The 24,395-nt window shown below is 57.2% G+C and overlaps 1 protein-coding gene and 1 long non-coding RNA gene across 3 annotated transcripts in view, besides 3 other annotated features; one reads left to right on the forward strand and one right to left on the reverse strand.

Annotated features, from left to right (window-relative positions):
• The window catches only part of PRDM16 (PR/SET domain 16), a 369,419-nt gene that overhangs the window by 81,702 nt on the left and 263,322 nt on the right, over positions 1–24,395 (forward strand). The window lies entirely within an intron of this gene.
• Positions 2,795–3,296: an enhancer, noted in NCBI's record as "H3K4me1 hESC enhancer chr1:3070263-3070764 (GRCh37/hg19 assembly coordinates)". NCBI's record gives its function as "activates a minimal SCP1, AML or CMV promoter by ChIP-STARR-seq in naive H9 embryonic stem cells {active_cell/tissue: H9 hESC(naive)}" and the evidence as "EXISTENCE:reporter gene assay evidence [ECO:0000049][PMID:30033119]".
• Positions 3,297–3,796: an enhancer, noted in NCBI's record as "H3K4me1 hESC enhancer chr1:3070765-3071264 (GRCh37/hg19 assembly coordinates)". NCBI's record gives its function as "activates a minimal SCP1, AML or CMV promoter by ChIP-STARR-seq in naive H9 embryonic stem cells {active_cell/tissue: H9 hESC(naive)}" and the evidence as "EXISTENCE:reporter gene assay evidence [ECO:0000049][PMID:30033119]".
• On the reverse strand, positions 10,377–15,991 carry LOC105378606 (uncharacterized). Its single transcript, XR_007065437.1, has 3 exons — positions 15,904–15,991; positions 10,858–10,976; positions 10,377–10,556 (listed from the first exon to the last, which is right to left on the reverse strand). It is a non-coding gene; the product is annotated as an uncharacterized LOC105378606 (long non-coding RNA).
• Positions 12,928–14,127: an enhancer, noted in NCBI's record as "CDK7 strongly-dependent group 2 enhancer chr1:3080396-3081595 (GRCh37/hg19 assembly coordinates)". NCBI's record gives its function as "activates an origin of replication core promoter dependent on BRD2, BRD4, P300/CBP, MED14 and CDK7 cofactors, with strong dependence on CDK7, by STARR-seq in HCT116 cells {active_cell/tissue: HCT116}" and the evidence as "EXISTENCE:reporter gene assay evidence [ECO:0000049][PMID:35650434]".

A 24,395-nucleotide genomic window follows, 5' to 3' on the forward strand; every position in this document is an offset into this window, starting at 1 on the left:
GGCTGGTCCTAGAGCTATGGAAACGGGGGGGCTGGTCCTAGAGCTATGGAAACGGGGGGCTGGTCCTAGAGCTATGGAAACGGGGGGCTGGTCCTAGAGCTATGGAAATGGGGGGCTGGTCCTAGAGCTATGGAAGCCGGGGGCTGGTCCTCCAGCAGCCACCCTCGGGGAGGTGGCGGGACCCCTGGGCCTCCTGGTCCTGAGATATCTCTGTGCCTCCTGCGTAGCTTAGCTTCCCAGTTGCCTTTGTCTCTGGGTACAACAAATTGAGTCAGTGTCTGTCCCCTCGCTGGGCATGGGGGCAGGGCCCTGGGGCACACTCTGTACCCCCATCTGGTCTAGAGAAGGCTCGACCAAGGTCCAAAACTCCCCAGAGTCCAGACAGAAGTGGGGACGAGCAGGGTCCTTTTCGGGGGCTCTTCCTTGGGTTAGGGATTAGGGAACACCCTACACTCAGTTCCTCCTGGGAATAGACTCCGCTGCAAGGCGAGGGACAGGGAAAGTGGCTGTGGGGTCCACCTTGCCCAGCCAGGCCATGGGCCAACAGGCTCACTCTAGGTAGTTCCATGTGGGTACCCTTCCTCCTTTTACTAACAGGCTTCCCAGAGGGTGTGTTCTGATCAGACTTCCATCTGCCTGTGGATAAAGCAGAGGTGAGATTTACCTGATTCCTAGGCAGCACGTGTGAGCTGTGTCCAGCCAGGACCTGGGGCAGAGGCCAGCGTCGACACTGCTAGCCCCACCGCCGTTCTGGGAGGCCGCCCACAGCACTGGCTTCTGCCAGAGTGTCTGAGTGGCCGGGCGTGCATTAGACAAGAGCTCAGCTTCACGGCTGAGAATACACGGCTCACTGTATTCTCCACTCCCGGAGAAGAGAGCCCAACTGTGGGCCGGCAGGGTCAGCTTTCACCCTGGGACTGTGGGAAGTCATCACGGACGTTGTGTGTGGCCTGTGCCCCCTGTCTCTGGAGCACCTTCCAGCCAACTGTGGCTTTTAAATCTCAGAAATGGGAACATGCCTTTGGGCCGAGACATCCCACTCTTGGAGAGAACAGGGGTCTGGTGGGTGGGAGTCTGCTCTGTCCTCTGCGTGGTGCTTCCTGAAGCTGTGCTGGTCACCACTCGGCCCCGTGGCACATTGCTCAGAATGGCCTCATCCTCACTGAGGTTTGTACAGGATCCAAAACAAGACCAGACATAGGCTGAGCATGGACGTGGCTGGAGTCCCTGCTGTGGCTCTGGGGGCATCTTGCCATAGCTGCTGCTGTGATGGTGAAGGTGGGGAAGGCAGGAGTCTCTGAGAATTCCTGATTCAGAATCTGGGGCAATGCCAAGTTAGGCCCCATTTGGAACCTAGCTTTGAGGCAGTTTTTATTCATCCATCCATTTATCCCTCCTTTCATCCATCCATCCATCCATCCATCCATCCATTTATCTATGCATTCATCCATCCATCCATCCATCCATCCATCCATCCATTTATCCATCCATCCATCCATTTATCCATCCATCCATCCATCCATGGAGATATACTGGCTGTCTCAACCTGCCAAGCAGTGGCTACTCTCTGGCTCCTGAATCCTCTGAGCAGACTCTCTAAATTAGATCCCATCTCCCAAAGAAGAAATGAAGGCTTGGAGGGGTTCTGACCTCTTTTATAGAGATGGCACTGGTCTACGGTGCTGCCTCCTATGGCAGGGAGCATGTTGCTCAGGAAGTTACACTTCCCCATGAGGTCTCTAAGAGCAAGGGCCAGTGGCTCCTCAGGACAAGGCTATGTTGCCGTCCGTCGTCCATCTGGTTTCTGATGCGTGGCTGGGCCAGGTCCCCTGGGGAGGGCTGCATGGACTCAGCCATAGCGTGGGTCCTTGGCTTCAGAGATGCCTGAGGCCATGGCCTGAGCCCCAGGAGGTCCCCGTCCTCAGGCAGGAGGGGTTTTGTCCAGAGGCTTGGGCCCATCCTTGGTGCCTGCTTTCCTGCTGTGCCCTCTCTCCCCTCTACCAAGCCCAGACCAGAAGACAGGCTCTGAGGACGGCTCCCAGGAGAACAAACTAACAGGGGTCATTTCTAAAGGGCCCCTAGTCAGGGAGGTGCCCAGGAATCACCAGACCAGAGGAGTGAACCAGTCAGCCTGGGGCCGGGGCCAGCCAGGCCAGAGCCAGCTCCAGCTCCAGCGGTGCTCAGATCTGCTCCTCTTTTCTTCTGAGTGGGAACAGGGGTTGCCCCCACCTGGCCTCCCTGTTTGGTGCATGGTGACCCCTCCCCTGCCACCTGAGGGATCTGCAGCCCTCCTCACCCCTGTAGCTCCGTGTCCTCAGGCAATAGCTCTGGAGTGGTGAGCTCTGGGCCAGGCAGGGTCTGGGCCAGGCAGGTGAGGAACGTGGGCCTGGGGAGCTAAAGCAGGCCCCGGAGCCCTGGGCTGGGTGTGCACATGTGTGTGCTTGTGTGTGTCTACACATGTGTCTGAACCAGTGTTGAAGCCACATGGTTTGCACTGTGCTGGCAAAGTGGTCCATGTGCGGCTAGACAGGACGGGCGGGCGGTTCCCCAGGAAGAGAAGCTCCCCACAGCGCGGTCCCCAGGCTGGACCAGAGCGGGGCTCCCCTGGAAGCAATCCATCATGTGCTGCAGGAGAAACGGGGCAAGGACAATTGCCGGGTGTCTTTTGGAGGCTGGTCCTCAACGCTGGCAACAGTTTCTCTCGCTATGAGTTGGTCCCAGAGAGCCCCGATTCACCCTTCCGGAAAAGGCAGTCCTGTTTGGATCAAAAAATAATTAGCTGAGCTTTAAGTGGGGGTTTCAAGTACACATTTAATTTACACTGATTAACAGTCATATGCTAAGTAAACACCAGCTGAATATTAAACCCGCACCATTGAGAAGCGTGGAACGCAAAGTAATATAGAAAACGCAGTAAATACACAGTTTCTATAACCAGTAATTATATTAATAACATGCAGCACTTGTCTTACAAAATGCAAATTAATACGTGCATATCTACGTAGAGATCCAACTTTTGATTTCACATGTTACCAGGGAGGCTTCCTTTGCGAGCTCCACGTTAAAGAAAGCCACAGCTTCTGAAGCAATTAGGCTGACGCACGGAAAATACAGTAAAATCAGCCCAGGGACGGCGCTCCCCTTCCCGTGCACTCTCCCAATCTGCGGCCCTTTGTCTGTGAGTTTCTGATCTTAGAGCTGCCGGGTCCCACTGGGCCCTGCTGCTGTTTCCCATGTGCACCGCTGTGGCTGTCACCGGGACCTGCCACGGTCGTGCCTGTGACAAGTCGTTAGGATCTGCCATGGAGATCCACCACCGTATCCCTAAGTGGACGGACTGGCGCTGTCACCACGGGCTGGCGCACTCTCCCTGGGCGGCGTGGTGGGGGGGCAGGGGGACGCTTTTGAGGGAGCACTCCCATCCCCTCTGGGTGGGCAGTTACAGGAGGCGACGGAGCTGCCTGTCGCTGTGGCAGCTTTGCACATTCTATAGGAATAACTTGAAACTTCAAGGAGAAGGATGCCAGGTGGAGGCGTTGTCAGGACGGCCAAGGGCTTCCCAGGGGCTGCAGCATGGAGCTGTGGGCAGCACACTCCTCCCGCCTCCAGGAATGGCCTTCCTGCCTCATGCCCCAGACCTCCTGCCCCCATGGCCCTTCCCACTTTCCCTTGGCCCCCATGGCCCAAGCTGGGTTTCCTGGTGTTCTTAAGGTCCCTGCACGGGCACCATTCCAGCTTCACGCAGTCGGCCGGGCATCCTGCACTGGCGAGGAGACCTTGGTGCTGGTCGCGGTGGAGGAAGGCATGGAGCCCTGGTTGAGATGTGGGCTGACCGCTGCTGACCCCCAGGCCGTTCTCACTCCTCTACCAGGAACCCTGGGTCAGGGGGTAGTGGGTAGCAAGTATAAAAACTGCTAGAAAAATCCCTTTGCTTCATAAGGAGGGGGATCATCAGTCTAAGCAAATGAAAAAGAAACTCAAATTCTGTCTTAAAAAACAAAGCAAGACACCAAAGCAAGCCTTTGGTTCATGTGGGTGAATGGAGATTTTGTGTGAACCGACCCCGCCATCCCTGGTAGAAACAGACTGTTTCTTCCCAGACCCTGAAGCCTGCCTGTGGGCCCTGAGGCCTCACATCAAACTCCAGGGGGTGCTCCATGTGGGTACCAAGCTCTAGGGGCCAGCCTGGCATCCCCCCGACCTCTCAGGGGCTCTGGAGTCTTCCTTAGGGACCCCAGATTGGAGAGAGGCTGCCGTCCTGCGGACCTCTCCAGGAAGGGCCCCGGGAGAGGCATCTCTCCGGAGGCGTCCAGAGCTGGCTCAAACACCGGCCAAGGCAGGCGGTGGGACCCGGGGCCCATGGCTCCTTTCTTGGAGGGTTTTGAAAGAAAATAAAATAGGGGAAAGAAAATCCAGGCTGCAGGGCTTGGCCGCGGCTGCCGTGTGGCTTCGCCCGATTAGCATGGTCTCCGCGAGGACTTGGGTTCGGGTTTGCGGTGTTATTGCCCTGTTATCTGCGTGGTTGGTGGTATCGCTGTACACAGATTTGCACCGTGGTGTTCTCTGAGGGAGCAGAAAAGGGGCCCCTCCATTGTTCCCGAGGCACTTGCTCCTGCGACCAGCACCTTCCATCTGTTTTCCTTTTTCCTTCCTCCCGATACAGCAGCGTTGCCGCGTCTCACCCGGAGGAGGGAGGGCCGCAGGCTCCCAGCACGGCCGCCGGCCTCGCCTTCCCCGCTCCTGAAAAATGAGATCATTTCAAACAGCGCCGTTTTCCACTTTGCAAAATGTGCTTGCGTTTGGGGGAGCAAATGTTTCACCTTTTATTCAAATAAAATCTAGGTGGTTGCAAGGCTTCGGGGATTCAGTGAGAGACCAGCCTGGCCTCAGCTCAGGGACGCAGCTGATTTTGCTTTTCCTTTCCCTGACCCTCCAGAGCAGCAGGCACCCCTGCGTTACCCTTGTCTTCCTCTTCAGAGCTGCTCGGTGTAATGGATTTCTTTAAATTAATAATGCGTAGAAGGAGATTTACAACACATTGCTAAAATATTGTCTTTGCCTTTTATTCATGCATTTGTCACTGTGGTCTCTAATCGAGGTGCTCAGAGAAGGGATAAATAATGAAGAGAGAAAACAGCTCTGTCATAATCCAGGACCATTTGCAAATTCATCACCGATATTCTTGGGGAAGGAAAGACAGAGGAGATGACAAATATCCCACCTTGCTAATATATCTCGTTGATTTCCTCTCCCATTTATTTAGATAACCTACTTTGAGCCGTGATAGAATGAGGGTCCCGGGCTGCTCTGAGCAACAGATGGGGCTGTCTGCAGGGCTCCCGGGCAGCAGGACAGTTTCCACGCGTTTGATGGTGGCCACTTTGAGTGTTAATTGTGATCGGTTTGATTTTAGGTGACTTTGGGGGAAATGATTCTTGGAGGGAAATGGTCAAAGGTGATTTCTGCAGCAAATCCTCTCTCTGCCTGCGGAGGTAAAAGTAGCCATTGCTTCTATTTTTATGGCTGGATTTAAGTCAATGCCTATCCTTAAGAAGAAGGATGGACCCAAAGCCAAATATATACCCCCAAAAGAAGGACAAAATGGTTTTCTAGTTTGGAGGGGTTTTGTTTGCTGTCACCCCTCCTCCTGGTAGAGGCAGGAGCTATGCATTTGGAGGTTTCCCTCTCTCTCTCTAGATGATTTTTAACTGACAGGAACTGGGAAGGAGGGAAACAAATCTGCTTTGGGAATTTTTTCTCCAGACCAGAGAAGGTTGGACCCGTTCAGAGAAGCCTCCGTCCTTCAGCTCCAGGTCAGGCTCACTACCCAGCCCCTGCCCGGCTCAAGCAGTGGCCACAGCTCAAAGCCAGAGTCCCAGGGCCCACATGGGCTTTTGCTTTTAGCTCTTCGAGGGGGGAAGCAGAGGAAGTGGCTTCTGTCTGAGCCTCTGCACCAACCGTGTGGCCTGAGAGAAGCAGGTGGGGGCGTCAGCTCTGGGGCGGCCTCCAGCTGCCTCGGTGGGGACACGGGGTCTCCCAGCGTGTCAGGACGGAGGGTGCTGTAGGACTATGGAGTTAGCGTGTGGTGCAAGCTGTAAGCCAGTGAGTGTCTGGTTAGAGGCTGGGCTGGGGCTGAGCACGAGGGCCAAGAGGTGACCGCCGGCCAGAACCAGCCGTGGCTGCCCAGTCGCCCAGATGGTGGTCCCAGGGCAGGGAGTGTTAGCACCTGCCGGGCTCAGCCTGGGCGGCTCAGAGGGCGGGACCTGGAGAAGGAGGGCCGCTCGGCAACCGCTGAGCCGGCGCAAGAGCTCAGGCCCTCAGGGAGCGTGGCCAGATCCGGCAGATGAAATCCAGGACACCCAGTTCAATTTGAATTTCAGATACACAGCACACAAGTACGTCCCAAACACAGCCAGCATTTTGTTGTGTTTACCGCATTTATTCTATTGATTGACTGAATTTACAGCATTTGATCTGGGGACCTGCCCCCAGGCTCCCAGGCCTTTTGCGATCCCATTAAAAAAAAAAAAAAAAAAAACACCTTTGTGGGGGCTGGGGGTTGATTGTCTCTTGAAAACAGACATGGGCCAGATCCAGTTGTTTGGTAGGATAAGGTCTTTATGGGCAGAAAAGAGATGATAGATGAGAAAAAAAAGAGACTGTAGGTTACAGAGAAGTCATGGGTGGGGAATTACAGGGAAAGTGGACCTGTCGGCTCTGTTCATGGACAGTATGGTGGGGCCTGAACAGACTTCCCCAGAAAGTTCCCAGATTCGCACCTGCTGGACTGGGAGGCGTCTCAGCAAATACCCACAGGAGGCTGTGTTTGGCCACTAGCGGAGATGGCCCCAGAGACAACACCCAGATGGACAGAGCTCGTCGGTTGGCTGAGGCTGGGGATGTGTCCAGGGTCACCGAGGCCATCTGGCCTCCCCCAGCACCGCCGGGCTGGATGCTTTAGCCCCAGCACCAACTATGCCATCTTCCTCCCACTTAAACCTCTCTTTTGACAGAGGACAGATATATTACGAAAATTACAAAATAATTACAAATGATAAAAACAATGACTGCTCATTGCAGAAAATACAGAAACAGATTTTGAAATGGAAAACCTTGCCTCTCCTCATCTCAAGATAATATCTGGTATACTTTTTCAGTCCTGTGCATGCATCATATAGATAGACACACATAAATGATTTCTGGTGTGGAATACCTGATACACGGTTGTGCCCGTTCTGTATTGGCAAACACACCCGCTTGCCACCATCCCCGTAACGGGATAGTGATCCTCTCTCATTTGACCGAGTCACGCTCTCCATCAACAGACCTCTGGGCATTCTAGAGGCACACTGCGAAGGGGAAAAGGGCCTGACCTCAAGGGGGTTGCTTTCCCAAAAGGGAAGCCAGGCTCAGCTGAATTTTAAAACTTGTCTTCTGCTGAAAATGTACTGTGATCATTTACATCTGAGGTATTTAAATTTTCATTTAAAATTTAAATGTAATTAAATTTAAAATAATTTTAAAACAAAATAAAAATCTAATTAAAACATTTTTAAAACCTATTTTCTCGCCTATACCTAAGTCACTGATATTTCAATATTTTTGCTGAGTCATTTGAATCTTAAAATTCAATTTTGTTCTCATGGCGAGAAGGCACGATGACTTTACAATCTCATCGCCATGGGCTCAACCAGCTGTTATGGGGGGAAAAGAGGAGACTGAGCTGATGGGTTTGTTGGAGATTTTTCTTTTTCTTTTTTCTCTCTTTCTTTCTTTCTTTCTCTTTCTCTTTTTTTCTCTTTCTTTCTTTCTTCCTTTTCTTTCTTCCCTTTCTTCCCTTTTTTCTTTCTTTCTTTCTTTCTTTTCTTTCCTTCTTTTTTTTTTTTTGAGACAGAGTCTTGTTCTGTTGCCCAGGCTGGAGTACAGTGTCCTGATCTCAGCTCACTGCAACCCCCGCCTCCTGGGTTCAAGCAATTCTCCCTGCCCCAACCTCCCGAGTAGCTGGAAGGCGCCTGCCACCACATCTGGCTAAGTTTTGTAGTTTTTAGTAGAGACGGGGTTTCCCCCATGTTGGCCAGGCTGGTCTCGAACTCCTGACCTCAGGTGATCCACCCGCCTTGGCCTCCCAAATGCTGGGATTGCAGGTGTGGCCACCATGCCAGGCCAAGATTTTTCTTTAGGAAGTATGGAAAGTGAGCCCCTGATCGGTATTCCGCCAGGGACAGCCTTGAGACCTTGGGCTGGGGGACCCTGAAGCAGACAGGGAGGCTGGAGGTACACAGGGCGGCATGAGAACCGAAGCCAGATGCCTGTCCTGGCACCTGAGCTGTGTGTTACCGGCGCAGCACCAGGCCACTTGCAGAAGTACTGCTGCATTCGCCAGCAAGGGCCGCCATCACGATGCGCCTCGCAGACCGCAGGGCTTGAGCAACAGGAACTTACCTCCACCATCTGGAGGTGGGAGGCCCAAAGACACAGTATCAGCAGGCTGGCTCCTCCCAAGGCCTCTCTCCTTGGCTCATAGATGGCATCTCCTTCTGGTGTCCTCACAGGGCCTTCCCTCTGTGTGTCTGTGTCCTCATCTCCTCTTCATACAAGGACACCAGTCAGATTGGATCAGGGCCCACCCTAGTGACCTCACTTTTCCTTATGACCCCTTTAAAGACCTCATCTCCACATGCAGTCCCATTCTGATATCCTGGGGATTGAGACTTCAAGGTGTGAATTTGGGAGGACACAGTCAGCCCACACGGGTGGGTGGTGGGCCAGTGTGTAGGAGGAAGAAGTTGAGTTGGAGTCCAGGTGGCCTGATCCGGACACTGTCCTGGGACACATTTTGTCAAGGTCTAACACTTGCTAAGAGGTTAGTAGGGGTACCTGGTACTGCCCAGAGGGACCACGAGAGGCACTTACCCCATCGAAGTGGGCTCAGGCGAAAGGAGTGTCCAGACTCAGAGTGCCAGAGAAAATACAGGACACCCAGTAAACTTTACCTTTCAGATCAACCACAAATACTTTTATAGTATAAGCATGTCCCAAATATTTCACGGGACATACTTACACTAAAAAAATCATCCACCGCGTATCTGAAATGCAAAACTAACTTGGTGTTCTGTATTTTTATTTCCTAACCCAGCTGTGTTGGGCTGAGATTCACACACTCAGTGTCAGGCAGGAGTTCATGGGGGGCACCAGCCATGGGCAGCCGGGCATTTCTGAGCTCCCGCAGCCAGAGGCCTTGCCCTTGGCACACAGAGCTGGGTGGGCCCTGTGGGGACCAGCCCCTGGGGATCCCCGGTGAGGCCGCGGTTCCTGCCCTGGTGTCGATTGAATGGGCTGGGCAGGCAGGATGTGTTGGAGGGAGGATGTGCCGTTGGCTGGTGTGGGATCATTTGCGCCTCCAGTATGACCACCTGAGACCCCACACCTGGTGTGCTGGGTCCCTGGTGCTCAGCAAGTCTCAGTCCCTGGCTGGGGGAGGGGGCTTTGGCCTGAGCTGCCACATCATCCTCATTGATGAACTCACCGGGCATTCCTGGGTGCCACCGTGACATTGTGGAGCACAGGAAGGACAAGGACCCTCACAGAGTGTCCTCCTGCTTTGTCCAGGGTAAGGGCGACACAAGGGGATGGGACAGGGAATGGCTTGGGTCACAGAGAACAACACAGTCTCCTCTTCACTGCCCACGAGGTGCAGGTGCAGGGGAGGCCTCTGGACATGGTCTGGGTGAGAAGCGCCATCTGGGTCCCTGCCCTAGAACCCCGTCTGGGGCTGACATCAAGACCCTGATGATGACGGTGACCCTTGGCTCAAGACAGCTTTGCCTCAGGTGCTGTGCAGTGGGAACTGCAAGAATGGGCCCATTTACTTCTCCCGGCTTCATGGGCGGGGCACTGTTGCCACCTGCACTTCCAGACAGGGTAGCTGGGCTCAGAGAGGTCAAGCACCTTGTCCAAGGCCACACAGCCAGCAAGAGGCTGAGCCTGGGTGTGAGCCCTGAGCTGTTTTTCGGGCAGGATGCAGCCGGTGGCTTTCGTTTCTTTATTTTCCCCTACTCCCTTGACAATGCTGCCCGTCTATTCGGAGACCCTGAAATGGGGGGAAAAGGCAGAGACTGGTAACCCCCACCTCCACCAAACCCTCAGGCAGGAGCCGGGAGGGGACGTTTTGCTGCCCCCACTCCCTGCCCCAGCCCTTTCCTCTCCCGAGAAAGATGGGGCTCAGCTGAGGACAGCTGACAGGTGAGGGAGGCGAGCAGGAAGGAGCCAGCGCGGAAAGTTCCGGCAGAACAGGCAGTTTTCAAAGTTTCTCAAAAGACGGCGAAGGAGCGCTTCGGCTCTCACCAGCAAACACACACACACAACACGCTCGAAAGTGCTCAGGGAAAAGTTTATTGGAAACTTGGCCCCAGAGCCGGGGAGGGTTCTTTGTTTGCCGGTCACAGCCACACCAAGTACAAACCGAGGTGGTTTCCCACATCTTGTCAAAGGACGGCATTTCCTCTCTCCTTTCTCCTCAAGCTGATTAGCGGGTCGGGCAATGGCGTGAGGAGATGCTGGGGGTAGGAAAATGGGGGTCATTTTGGAAAACCTCTTTGTGGATGGGTCGGGAATGGGGAGAAAATGAATAGTTATAAGCTCATTTCCATAGAAACTGTCTCATTATCATGCTGGCTGCCCGCTGGACCAGGCAGGGCTTCTTGCCAGCACCAGCTCCACAATTAAATGTCCCCTGCCCGCCCGGCGCGGAGAGGCCGGTCAGCAGAGAGGGCTCCAGCCCCAGCAGGCCCGGCCGCGGGAGCCTCGAGATTCTTTTTCTTGAAATACCAGAGGTTGGTGGAGGGATTTTTGCGGCACCTGAACAGTCCTAAGCAGGCCCATGCCAGCGGCGTCCCAGCTCCTGGGTGCAGGATCTGGTGCGCCTGTCTCCATGAGGATTTGGACCACGTTCGGCAGAGCAGGTCTCCCAGGCTTCCCTAAAGATGTTTAACAAAAACAGTGGAGATGATTGGGTTTGGAGTCGCTTCCTGGGCAGAGCTGCTCGTGTTCGGGCAGCGCTCAGGGCACTCGGTTGGACGTCGCCAGGGTGGCTCGGCCCCTCCACGTGGGGCCTCCACACCACCTCTCAGGGGCTGCCACCCCTTCCCGTCCCCCTAGACCCCAAGACCCCAAAACCACACATGGGCTAATTGTGGTAAAATATACAAATGTAATCTTTGTCATTTTAACCACCCGTGAGCGTGGCATTAGGTGGCGTTCAATATGCCCGGGCCACTGCGGAACCATCACCCCTCTCTGTGCCCAGGATTTTCCCGTCACCCCCCAGGAAAACCCCGTGCCCGGTAAATAGTGACTCTGCGTCCCTCCTCCCGAGTCCCGGGACTTTCTCATCACCCGCCACAGAAACTCCGTGCCCGGTAAATAGTGACTCTGCCTCCCTCCTCCCGCAGCCGCGAAGCCTCGGTTCCACTTTCTTTCCCTGTGGATAGGCCGGCTTGTGTGTTGAAGATGGAAAAGCTCATCCCAGGGAAGCAAGCATATTCACAACTCCCAAGAGAGCTGCAGCAGGCCCAGCAGAGCCCACTCCTGCCCCTTCCCCCCGGCTGAGGTCGCAGGCCCACGAAGGTCGTCATTACGGATTTATTAACCCCCTTTCCCTGGCTTTGTGAGAGGCCTGGTCTGGAAAATGACCAGGCTCCCAGGAAGTGAATCATTTAGGATTGACAGCGGCGAGCCCGTGCGCCGATGGAGGCGAATCAGGGAGCAGATGAGTGGTGTGGAAAACGCGGAGCCAGGCTCGGTCGGCAGCCACGCCCCCTCCTTCACCCTCCAGTCCTCCTGTGTGGCAGGGACCTGGTGACGCCTGTGCGACCATCGAAGCCACACAGGCAGCCAGAGAGGTCAAGGGTCCAGGGTCAAAGCGGCACCTCCGCAGGAGTGGTGTCAGGGCCCCCGGCTCTAGAGGGCTTTGGGAGAGGGGATGTGCGCAGAAGCCCCTGGCATGGTCTAGAGGGCTTTGGGAGAGGGGATGTGCGCAGAAGCCCCTGGCATGGTCTAGAGGGCTTTGGGAGAGGGGATGTCCGCAGAAGCCCCTGGCATGGTCTAGAGGGCTTTGGGAGAGGGGATGTGCGCAGAAGCCCCTGGCATGGTCTAGAGGGCTTTGGGAGAGGGGATGTGCGCAGAAGCCCCTGGCATGGTCTAGAGGGCTTTGGGAGAGGGGATGTGCGCAGAAGCCCCTGGCATGGTCTAGAGGGCTTTGGGAGAGGGGATGTGCGCAGAAGCCCCTGGCATGGTCTAGAGGGCTTTGGGAGAGGGGATGTGCGCAGAAGCCCCTGGCATGGTCTAGAGGGCTTTGGGAGAGGGGATGTGCGCAGAAGCCCCTGGCATGGTCTAGAGGGCTTTGGGAGAGGGGATGTCCGCAGAAGCCCCTGGCATGACCCCCTTCTAGTGGGTCAGTCAGCACAACCATCAAGTTCCAAGCTCAGATTCAGGTGGAGGACACAGATCTCCAAGGCGTGCACAGCCGGAGGCCTGAGTGAGCACCTCTGACGGTCCAGCCCAGAGTAGGTGTTGAGTAAGAGCGGTCAAGCAGTGCCAGTTGGTAAAACCCACGCGGCGTTAGCTTCCTGGGGAGGTCCTAACCGGGTACCCCAGCCTGAGTGGCTGAAACAACAGATACTTCTCCTCCCACGGTCCTCAGGGCCAGAAGTCTGGGATCAGCTGTGGGCGGGGCGGTCCTTTGGAGGCTCTGAGAACCCTTGTCCCGGCCTCCTTCTGGCTCCCTGGGGCTGCCGGCATCTTTGGCGTTCCCTAGTTTGTAGGAGCATCGCCCAGCCTCAGCCTCTGTGTGCATGTCATATTCTACCCCGTGCGTGTTCACGTCCAGAGCCGTGTTTTATCAGGACACGGTCATTTGGATAAGGGAGCCACCCCCAGCAAGGTGAGCTATCTTAACCCATCGCATCCGTGATGACCCTTCTTCCAAATAATGGCCGCTGGGACTGCAACCTACGAATATGGATAACCTCACTTCATCTCCCATGGCCCCCTCTTCCCAAGGGAGCCCTGGGGCCCAGGGGACGCAGCTGCCACCAAGGCCCTGCTGGAATGTTCCCTGATCCTCATCCAGCCAGCCACCCCTTCCCTCTAAAGCAGGTTGTTCTGAATCTGGGCCACTGGCCCGCTGCGCCCTGAAGCCTGTGTCGTCCATCAACTTCCAGAGGCCGCCGCTTCATGAATTACACACCATGCAAACGTCCGGCCAGCGGCTTAAGTATAAAGCGTGAGAAACACAGGAGATCATTCCGTGTTCGTGGTTTTGTAAGGTTTGAAAAGCGATTTAAAATAATTTTAGGTTGTCCTGGGGTTGGCGAACAGTGTAATAGGAAATTTGAGAAGGCAAAGTTTTTAAACTGAAAGGTTTTGCCTCCTTGTTTCTAATTTTTAGAAACATGATGGATGTCAGCCGTGACGTTGGGCCGACAGCTTCTGGGAACGATTTCCCAGCTCGCTCGGACCCAGGCGGGGGACCCTGCCAGGAGGGCACCGAGGGCCATGGCCACGTACAGAAAGAGGACGGCTTCCAGTCTTCAAATTGGAAACCTGCACCCGGCCTCCCTTGGCTAACCTCAATCCCATAAGCAATCCGAAGGCATTGCTGAGCGGACAGAAAACTTTCCCGGTGTGTAGCCCGCTCGGTGTCTCTGGAAACCATGGTCGGAGGTGTGAGGGATTGCTCACTAAACGCGGACGGCAGGCGAGGGGCTAGGAGGCGGCGTGGTCGAGCGAGGTGACCTGCGAGGGAAATGAGGTCACGGTCCCGCGTGATCATGGGGTCAGGTGTCCCGGCAGCAGTGCAGGGGAGGGGCTGTGTTTGCGGGGGGAGGCTGTTGGGAAATGGAGGTCGCAGTGCTCCACCCACCGCCCAGCCCGCCTCCGTTCTCTGCTGGCCCCAGCTCCTTGGGAGATGCAGGTGGGAAGGCCGTCGCCACCGTGGGGAATCAGATGTGCCCCGTGCTTGTTCCCCAGAGGTGCAAGCCCTGACCTCCGCCCTGCACAGGCCTCCTGCCACCCTGGGGATCAGCCGTGTTCCAATGGTAGGCTGGCGCCTCTCTGTGCCAAGTGACATGGTGCTTGGGGAGATGCCTGGGCATGGCCTGGTAGGCCAGTCACAGGAGCTCCGGGCCCCCCTCTGCCTGGCCCTTCATGCAGGGACTCAGCAGGCAGGCAGTCTTCTGGTGTGAGCGCCCGTGGGCTCAGGAGTGGGGCTTACCTAGGCCCAGGGACAGGGACTTACCTGGCCTCAGGGGCATGGACTCACCTGGGCTCAGGGACAGTGACTTACCTGGGCTCAGGGACAGGGATGCACTTGGCCTTAGGGGCATGGACTCACCTGGGCTCAGGGACAGGGTTGCACTTGGCCTCAGGGGCATGGACTCACCTGGGCTCAGGGACGGTGACTCACCTGGGCTCAGAGACAGGGACTCACCAGGGCTCAGGGACAGTGACTCACCTGGGCTCAGGGACAGTGACTCACCTGGGCTCAGGGACAGTGACTCACCTGGGCTCAGGGACAGTGACTCACCTGGGCTCAGGGACAGGGACTCACCTGGGCTCAGGGACAGTGACTCACCTGGGCTCAGGGACAGGGACTCACCAGGGCTCAGGGACAGGGACTCACCTGGGCCCAGGGACAGGGACTCACCTGGGCTCAGGGACAGGGACTCACCTGGGCTCAGGGACAGGGACTCACCTGGGCTCAGGGACAGTGACTCACCTGGGCCCAGGGACAGGGACTCACCTGGGCTCAGGGACAGTGACTCACCTGGGCTCAGGGACAGTGACTCACCTGGGCCCAGGGACAGGGACTCACCAGGGCTCAGGGACAGGGACTCACCAGGGCTCAGGCACAGGGACTCACCTGGGCTCAGGGACAGGGACTCACCAGGGCTCAGGGACAGGGACTCACCAGGGCTCAGGCACAGGGACTCACCTGGGCTCAGGGACAGGGACTCACCTGGGCTCAGGGACAGGGACTCACCTTTTTTTTCTCCCAGTGACCACACCATTCCGTTGTGGACCCAACAAGGTGCATGGTGAGCAAGTGCTTGGGAAGGGGCTCCCTGGGGCATGTCGGGGGCCTGGGATGGCGGGCGAGCCCCTCCTAGCCCCTGGTCTTTCCTGTTCCTGGGTCTGAGTGGCGCATGGGAACCTCACCTTGCTTTCCGTTTGGCTGAAATTCATTAACTGCCAGGAAATCATGGATTTCCAAGCCTGGCTTTTTCCATAGCCTTTTGCTTAGCAGAGAAAATCAAATGGATGCAAGCAAATAATGAGAAACAGCTCCCGAAGAGCTTTGCTCAAACACGGGGCTGTCTGGTGGTGGGCGTTCTGCGGAGGCAACTCCGATGCCCACGAGGGGTCCCTGCCAGGTGCCACAGGCCAGGCGTCTGACCGTGGGGAACCCTCGGAGGTTTTCCACAGTGAGCGTGGACAATTCTAGCAAGGAGAGCCAAACGCTGAGGCGCGTCCGGGCGAGGCTCACACGTGCTGCCAGGTGACAAACTGCTTTTGCTAAGCCCACTTGGTTTGGCGGCTCCCTTTAAATGAGGCCTTCTCAGGAATACAACCCCAGGGAACACATTTCACTGGCCTCAAAAGAGAAAGTGCTCACGAAGGGGACAGTCCCTCGCATCGCCAGTAACCGCAGCCTCTTCTCATCTGCACACTGGCCCTGGCTCCCTGACCCACAAGGTTGAACAGAATGCCCACCTCCCATCACCCAGGGATGACGGCTGGAAAGGGAACCACAGCGCGGCCTGGGGCCCGGCCCAGGTGGGGAGAAGCCAGAGGACTCACTCGGGTGAGGTTCTTTGCCTCTCTGAGTGGCCCCATGGTTCTCACCGGTAAACTGGAGTTGCCATGAAGCTCACTGTGTCTGGCGCTGGCCGTGCACCCTGGTTCAATTGCTCTGTCCTCACGGCGGCCTACGAAGCAGGTGCTGTTTTTCTCCTGCTGCATAGATGCTGCTACAAGGCCCAGAGACCTCAAGGCACTTGCTCGAGTACGCACGGTGGACACTGTCCAGTAAGGCTGAACACGCACCCTCCAACTGCCCTCCATCCCCAGAAGGACTCCCAGGGAGGTGCAGGGAGCGAACACAGGGACGATCTGGATTGCACCTGGCAGGGAAGGCTCAGCTGGTGCTGGTCTACATGGCTACTACTACTACCACCGGGGAGCCTGAGAAAGCGATTTTTCCAACAATATGATCAAGAGAAAAATAGAGGAGGAGGAGCCAGGGTGAAGGCCCCTGTCCCTCCCAGGCCTTCAGCCTGTACACAAAGCCCAGCAGTTGCCCTTTACGTGAGAGGAATTTCTGAAAACGACCCCGTTAAAAGCCATTCCGGAAATCCGTCATCCGCAGAACTCAAAGCTGCTCCCAGTTTTCTGGGAATTCAGGCCTGCGTGGGAGAGCCTCAGGGTTAGGGACAAGAGGGCCTGGTGGCTGGGGGCTGGAGGAGGTCCCCATGCTTGTCACCGGGGGTCACATTCGCGCTCATGTGCAGCCGGGGCGAAGGGCCTCCCACTCATGAATCCTGCCACAGGTGAAGAAGGTGCCAACCCGGAGCCTCCTCCCAGCGCCTCTGTGGCATTGCCCCCTGCTCCTGCCATCCTCCCACCCCACCCCTGCCTCCCAGCACCTCTGTGACATTGCCCCCCTGCTCCTGCCATCCTCCCACCCCACCCCTGCCTCCCAGTGCCTCTGTGACATTGCCCCCCTGCTCCTGCCATCCTCCCACCCCACCCCTGCCTCCCAGCGCCTCTGTGACATTGCCCCCCTGCTCCTGCCATCCTCCCACCCCACCCCTGCCTCCCAGCGCCTCTGTGACATTGCCCCCCTGCTCCTGCCATCCTCCCGCCCCACCCCTGCCTCCCAGCGCCTCTGTGGCATCGCCCCCGCTCCTGCCATCCTCCCGCCCCACCCCTGCCTCCCAGCGCCTCTGTGGCATCGCCCCCGCTCCTGCCATCCTCCCGCCCCACCCCTGCCTCCCAGCGCCTCTGTGACATTGCCCCCCTGCTCCTGCCATCCTCCCACCCCACCCCTGCCTCCCAGCGCCTCTGTGGCATCGCCCCCGCTCCTGCCATCCTCCCGCCCCACCCCTGCCTCCCAGCGCCTCTGTGACATTGCCCCCCTGCTCCTGCCATCCTCCCGCCCCACCCCTGCCTCCCAGTGCCTCTGTGGCATCGCCCCCGCTCCTGCCATCCTCCCACCCCACCCCTGCCTCCCAGTGCCTCTGTGGCATCGCCCCCGCTCCTGCCATCCTCCCGCCCCACCCCTGCCTCCCAGCGCCTCTGTGGCATCGCCCCCACTCCTGCCATCCTCCCGCCCCACCCCTGCCTCCCAGTGCCTCTGTGGCATCGCCCCCGTTCCCATGCAGCCATCCTCCTGCCCCACCCCTGCCTGGTTTTCTGGAACCCCTGGAACCAGCATCACACAAGTGAGCAAGTGGCTCTTTCCAATCTTACAACCCCCGCGGTGGAAGGAACAGGTGGAAAGATTGTTGAGACTTGTAAATTAGTTGCTAATGAGGAAAATCAGGAAATTTGCTGAGGCATAAAAAATGAGAAGTCCGGAGAAAGAAGACAAATGGACCCGCAGCTATTCCCGCCCCACCCCCGCCCCTCGCCCTTTCATACCCTGGTTTAGATCAGACCGAAATACAGATCTGATGCCTAAGTTAATGCAAAGAAATTGCTTTAAAATGTAAAGGTGATTAATTGGATTAATGTGCAAAAAATGGTTAAAGTATGTCAGGGAATGAGGAGGGAGTGGGGGCCCGTGTTTCCCGGGCCACCTGCCACCTGCCCGGCCCATGGAAAGTGCTCTGCCAACATCATTTCCTGGAATGCTCAGAAGGACCCTGCCAGGTGGCCACTGTCGTTCCACTTCTGCAGATGAGAAGCTCTGGCCTACCGAGCCTACTCCTGGAGCCAGGTGGTTGCTGCCCACACCCCCTCCCACCTGAGCTGACCCCTGTGGCCACGCCCAGGGTGCAGGTTCAGGACCAGTGCAAGGGGACATGGGGCTGTAACCTGTAGGCTGATGAGTCCAACAGAAGCCTCCCCACCCCTGTAAGAGGGACGTCCTGAGACCCTGTGCTGTGCCGCTGCTGCGGTCTCCAGCCTCTACTTGGAAGGCTTGTGACAAGTGTGGTGTGTGGCCCTGGACACTTTCTGAGCCTCAGCTGGCCCTGATGCTAAATGGGCCCATGGAGGTATTGTGTGGATTTTCTACTGTTTCTTTTCAACAAAACCCATGGTTTGGAACCTCGGGAAGAAACAAACCTCATAAAAATGTGATTCCTAAGGCCCTTCCATCCGGCCCCCACCACCCTGAATCCCTAGGGTTAGAAAACACTCCTGAGGCTGACCCAGAGCTCAGGGAAACACCCTACGGTTGCCATGGGAGCCCCGTCCCTAGCGACTCTCCTCAGGGCCGGGGGTTGGAAGATACCACACAGGGGTGGGAGTGCAGGCCGAGGGGCTTGTTGGCCTGGGGTTTGAGCCCCACCCCTCTCCCGTGCACAGCCTGGGGCATGTGCTGGCTTCTCTGTGCCTCAGTTTCCTGATCCATAAAATGGAGATAATAACAGGCCAGGTCCCGGGGTTGTTGCTGAGGGGCAGAGTATCCCTGTCACCTCCTCAACAAAGAGGCTGACAGAGGAAAACAAACGATTAAAGAAAAAAAAACAGAGCCCGCCCCCCACGGGCCCCCCAACACCCGCAAGGGCCTGCACCACTTCCACCGTCTCTGGCTCCTGTACGCCATCAGGATCTTGAAGGGGCAGGTGGGGAAGGGCTGGGCTCCCCCGCAGCCCCTGGTTCCCCCCGAGCCTCGGGCCCTCTCCCCTGGCTGCCGTGTCCATGGGCCACGCTCGGGTCAGCGGCGAGCTAACGCCTTTGTCAGGGTGATTAATAGCGGGGGGACTGTCGTTAATTCACTGCCTAATGACCGCGGCCCGCGCGCTCCGAGTAATCGGGTGATGTATGTGGACTGTGCACACCTCGTGGCAGAGGTGAAAATCATTTCGACAAGTCAAATATTGTCACAGGGAACAAATGGCTCTCCCTGTTAATAAAAATTAATGAATTTTTTTTTTCTTTCTTTTTTCCTCGCCGCTGGCCTGCTAAATGAATCTGAGGGCAGCTGAGCGCGGACGGGCTGGGAAGGGTTAAGTTCTTGATTCCGTGGTTAAAACTATGAACGTCTTCATCAGGGCAAGTGCGGCCAGGGGGCCAGGGTGGCCCTGCACCTGCAGCCTGGCTGCTTCCCCCAGGAGTGCCTGCAGGCCCTTCCGGGGTGGGGGTGCAGAGATCCCCCGCTCCAGGCCTGAAGGGGTGAGGCTTCCAGAGAGGGGCTGCAGCTGTCCCAGGCTCTCTGGACCTGAGGGTGATGGGAGCACCTTCAGGCTGCTCTCCCCACCCCTCCACTGCAGCCCCATCACCATGTGGGTGGGAATTAGGGAGCAGAGCCGAGTGGATTAGGACCAGGTGCTGGGCAATGAGTTTATCCAGGGAGGGTCCTCCTGGCCCCGAGAGCCGGAGCCCAAGGTGGCACCAGTTTCCCTAGGAGCATCTGGGTGGCCCCCAGACCCTGCCCTGGCTGCGAGGGGCGGGGAGTCAGGCCTCAAAGGCCTCAGCCTCCGCAGCTCCCCACCCCCACTCTGGTGGGAGGCCAGGCCAGGGCAGTGAGCCAGCCCGCCTCTGTGCCCAGAGGAGGCGGGGCCCGGGGGAGCAGGGGAAGGGAGGGCCTGCACCCACCATTGGCAACAAAGCTGTCCTGGCCGCTCCCGTCACCAGGGCTGGAGGCACACGGACATGGACAGTGCCCTCCCCACCCCATGATGCAAACCCCCAGTTTTCATCCCAGCAGCCAGGGCTGTCGGGAGCCCATGGCCTTCTCTGTCTGCAGCAGCCACGGTGGAGGCAGGCCACCGGGGAAACGTGTGTTTCAGCTCCCAGAGCTCGGGCTGATGGCGCCAGCCCAAACGAGGCTGTCCTCCCCAGCCCGTCTTGGCTAGAGAGCCCACACAGCCTCGCTGCAGTCCCTAAGGGAAGGCTGGGATAGGGGCACCCCTGTCCCAGCGGGACCCCGCACCCCTCAGCGCCCCACGGAGACCTGCACCTTCCAGACTGACAGTGCTCGGGGCCCTCTCTCCCTCTTGCGATTTTTATTTCGGGGCCACGTTTGTTTACTTGCGGCGTGACTTGCTCTGGCCTGTGCACGGCAGCCACAGGCCCAGTTGGTAGGAACTAAAGAGATAAATAAGTCTATAAATAGTTTGGTGGCGGTCGGCTGTTACGGCGCTTGCTCAGCATTTAACCCCTTGTTCCTCCTCCTCGCTGTCCGGGCAGAGCCAGGGAAAGGGAAGCAGAGAACAGAAATCTCCGAGTGTGTTTTCTTTTCTGAACGAGCCCTGGCTGAGTGCACTTTGTCCTCGGGTGGCCTGGCCTGCAGAGCCTCCTGCGAGGACGCTGGCCTTGATTGCAACCCCCTCCAAACCCTCAGTGCCGCAGGTGCTCTGGCAGCTGGCAGAGGTGGCCATCCCAGGGTCACTGGCCATCCCTTCCTCTGCCCTCGGTATCCCACTTACAGCCTCCGAGTTTGCAGAAACACAGCTGTGTGTATTGGGGGGCCCTTCCCCAAATCTGCTCTGGCCACGAGCTGAGCTGGCTCCTGTCCTGCCCTCCTCGGGCTGGCAAGCCCAGGCCCCTTCTGGGTTCTGGTTGGCTCCATGGAACCTTTCCTTCCTCTTTCTGGAAGGACCCCAGGACTCCAGAACACCTAAGCACCTGGCTGAGCCTCCAGGAAGAGCCTGAGGAAGCCTCCGGGTGAGAGGTGACCCTCGTCTCTGTGGCCACCCGGGCCCTCCACCAGCCAGAACCTCTTGTCGCCCTGCTTGGATCAGGCGCCTCCCGAGCACAAAGTCCTGGAGCAGCGAGCCGAGCTCCAGGTGCAAGCCCCCCGGCCTCCGCGCCACCGGGGGAGCTGCGATCCAGTAGAACGGGGTCCCCGGTGCTGAAGGAGCATCCCTGGGCCCAGCGGGAGGCTGTGAGGTACTCAACGGCTCCACGATGTCCTTATGCTGCTGTGGGCCCTGCCGGCTGCCAAGCCAGCTGCCCTAGGTGTGGGGGCCACCTAGCAATCAGGGTGGAGAAGGAGTTGAGAACAGAATCACCCACTCACATGCAGGTGAGGGGCAGGGCATACGGCTCTGAACGTCCCCCACGGTCTTCCCGGTTGGATTCGTGCCTGTTTTACAGAGGAGGAGGCTGAGGTCCAGAAGGTGGAAGTGGCTTTACCCCACTCCCAAGGTACAGAGGCTGGAAGGAGACCCTGTCCTTGCCTATAGGAATGAGAGTCAACCAGGGTGGTGGGGGAAGTCAACCTTACCTGCTTTCCAGAGACCCTGAGATCTGGGCAGTGGGGCTGCTGACAGGAGCCTCGTTTCACTTGGGTGGAATAGCCTGGGTTTTGTTGATGCTAAGAGCACGCCGTAGATTCAGACGGCACACGCATGTTCACACGTGCTTCCCACAGTGGCGTGTGCTTCACTGTAGCTAAAATGTGGACACACCACAGTGTCCATCCACAGATGAAGAGACAAGCCAAAGGCGGCACCCACATGCCTGGACTATTAGCCCTCAAAAGGAAGGAAACGGCGACACACGCCACCACCTGGAGGAAACTTGAGGACCTTGTGCTAAGCTAAGTAAGCCGGCTGTGAAAGGGCAATAGTGTAGGATCCCACTTACGGGAGGTCCCTAGAGTTATCACATGCATAGAGACGGAAAGTAGAATGGTGGCTGCCGGGGCTGGGGGAGGGGATGGAGAGTGTCTGTGGGGTAGACTTTCTCTCTGGGGAGATGCAGGAGTTCTGGAGATGGGTGGTGGTGACTGAAGGCAGCGCACAGCATGAATGTGCTTAATGCCACTGAGCTGTGCGCTGAACAATGACTGAAATGATACATTTGATGTTACATGTATCTGCCCACAGTCTTTCTAGAAGCACGCTGTCACGATGCCAGATCTTAGCTCGTGGAGCTAGTGCTTGGAGCCAACACCGCCTGGTATTTGAGGGGTCCAGTGCATGCACAGTGAAGGGTTAAGGAGAGGCACCCCGCTCTGCTGCCGCCCAGATGCTGCTTAGCGCAGGGCCAGGGAGCCTCGGCTGTGATTCAGGAGGGAAACAGTGAGATGTGAGCAATCCGTGGCTACCTTGCTGCCCCCGGGGCTCAGGGAAGTGGTATATTAACCAAGGAATAAAGGAGAGGAAGAAAAAAGGCCAAATCACATCTCTCTGAAACAAAGAGGCTTTTTACCCGGAACAAGGCTTTATAAAAATGACAGTGGCATCGCGAGTCATTCAGCGCCTGCCCGGGGCGATGGAGGCGGCGAGGAAATACAGGATGCGGGCTCTGAAATGGGAACGCTGCTGTCCCCGGAGCATTGCACGGATAAATAATCGTCTTAGAATAATGCATCGGCTTTAGGTAGGGCCAGGTGGCCTGAGCTGCCCGACAGAGGCCTCCGTGGCCCTGCGTGAGGGCCAGATTCAGCTCGGCTGGTCAGGGGAGATTCCAGGGGCTGGGAGGGGCGTTCGTGGGCAGTGGCTTCGTGGACCCCAGTGGGACTTTGTGGTGGTCTGTGCAGCGCAGCCAGGCCCACCCGCCTGCCCCAGAGGCGTGGGCTGCGCAGAGGCTGGGGCTGTTTGCCCTTCCCCTTGGCAGCGGATGTGCTTCTCTCCGAGCTTCAGGGCCGGCCCCTGGTGGGGTGAATGGCAGTCACACATCCTCCAGGCTGTCATGGGGCCGAGGCTCCGTGCTCAGCAATGCGGTTCCTCTGGGTGGTTTATGCTCCCGGTGCAAAGCCTTTGTTCTTCCTCTGAGAGAAGGGGGCCAACAACCTGCTTCAGGGCACCAGGAGCACGTTACAGCCAGAGGGGCTGGCAAGGAGGGTCATGTGTTCTCGGCCGGGCCCGTGCTATGGCCCGTGCTATGGTCGCTTTGGTCTTTGTGTGAGTGTCTTGGGTCTGCTTTAACGAAAGAGCACAAACTGGATGGACTGAAACAACCGAAGGGTGTGCTCCTACTCCGGAGGCCAGAGACACAAAGCCAGGCTGTGGACAGGGTCTTGTTCCCTCTGGAGGTCCTAGGGGAAGAGTCCCCGCTCACCTCTCCCAGCTTCTGGTGGCTCCAGGCATTCCTTGGCTCGGGGCAAATCCCTGCCTCTGTCATCATATGGGTGTCACCTGGGCATGTCTCTGTGTCCTTCTCCTTGTCCTATAAGGACATCAGTCCCATTGAATTAGGGCCCTCCCTAGTGACCTCACCTGAACTTGATTACCACTATAAAGACCTTATTTCCGAATCAGGTCACATTCTGAGGCCTGGGGGTTAGGGCTTGAATGCACCTTTTGGGGTGACATCATTCAACTGGTTACAGTCTTGGGAGCCGCTGGCCAGCCTGGGTGACAGTGGGGGCTGGTGGAGACTCCCTGAGTCAGAAGGGCAGGGTCTGTGCTTGCCTGCTGTGTGACCTGGACAAGCCCTGGAGTGGGTCTCAATCTGCTTCCTTCATCTCTAAAGTGAAGGCAGCACTGTGGACTGTCCCTGCCTCCCTCCGTGTCTGCGACAAAGGCGAGTGTGTGTGAAGGTAGCCAGGCTGGGGGTTTGCATCTGGTCAGGATTGGGGAGATAAGGCAGGAAGCCCCACCTCTTTGCTGGGGAAATTTCTGTGCTTCGGTGGCTCCAAGAGGGCTGGGAGCCTGTCTCTGAGGTCAGGGCTCCGTCTTCCCAGGCTCTCCCGGGCCCTAATGACAATTCGGCTTCATCAGCCCTGCAGCTGGGGTTCAACGTTCCCCAGTCTCTGTGGGCCAGGTCCCGGGTGCAGGTTTGAGATAGAAACGGCAATTGATCATATTAATATTTAGCATGTTTGCAGAAACGGCTTTCTCAGTGCTATCAATCTGCTGTGTTAATAGCGGCCGCTTGGTTCTGGGCACAGACGCTCAGAAGGGGAATGCCAATGAGTCCCAGTGCCGCAGGGCAGCCGCGGTCCCGGGCTGGTCAGAAGGTGGGACCAGCGGCCAAGGCTCCTCCTAGCACCATTTCCTGGAGTTACGACAGCTTTGTTCTTGTCTCAAAGCCAAGATCCAGGGCGAGGGGAGAAGCTATTGCCTTTACCGCACAGTTTTAAAGACAGAAGAACAAGATAGAACTCCATCAGTTCCCAAGTTTCTCTTTCTAGCAAACTGTTTTTGGGAAGGGGCCTTCAGGATGACCCTGCCGCTCCAGGAGCCCTCCCACTGAAGAAGGGCCTTCTGTTCACC

The sequence above is a fragment of the Homo sapiens genome, chromosome 1 (assembly GCF_000001405.40).
Source record: "Homo sapiens chromosome 1, GRCh38.p14 Primary Assembly".
NCBI classification, from domain to species: Eukaryota; Metazoa; Chordata; class Mammalia; order Primates; family Hominidae; genus Homo; species Homo sapiens.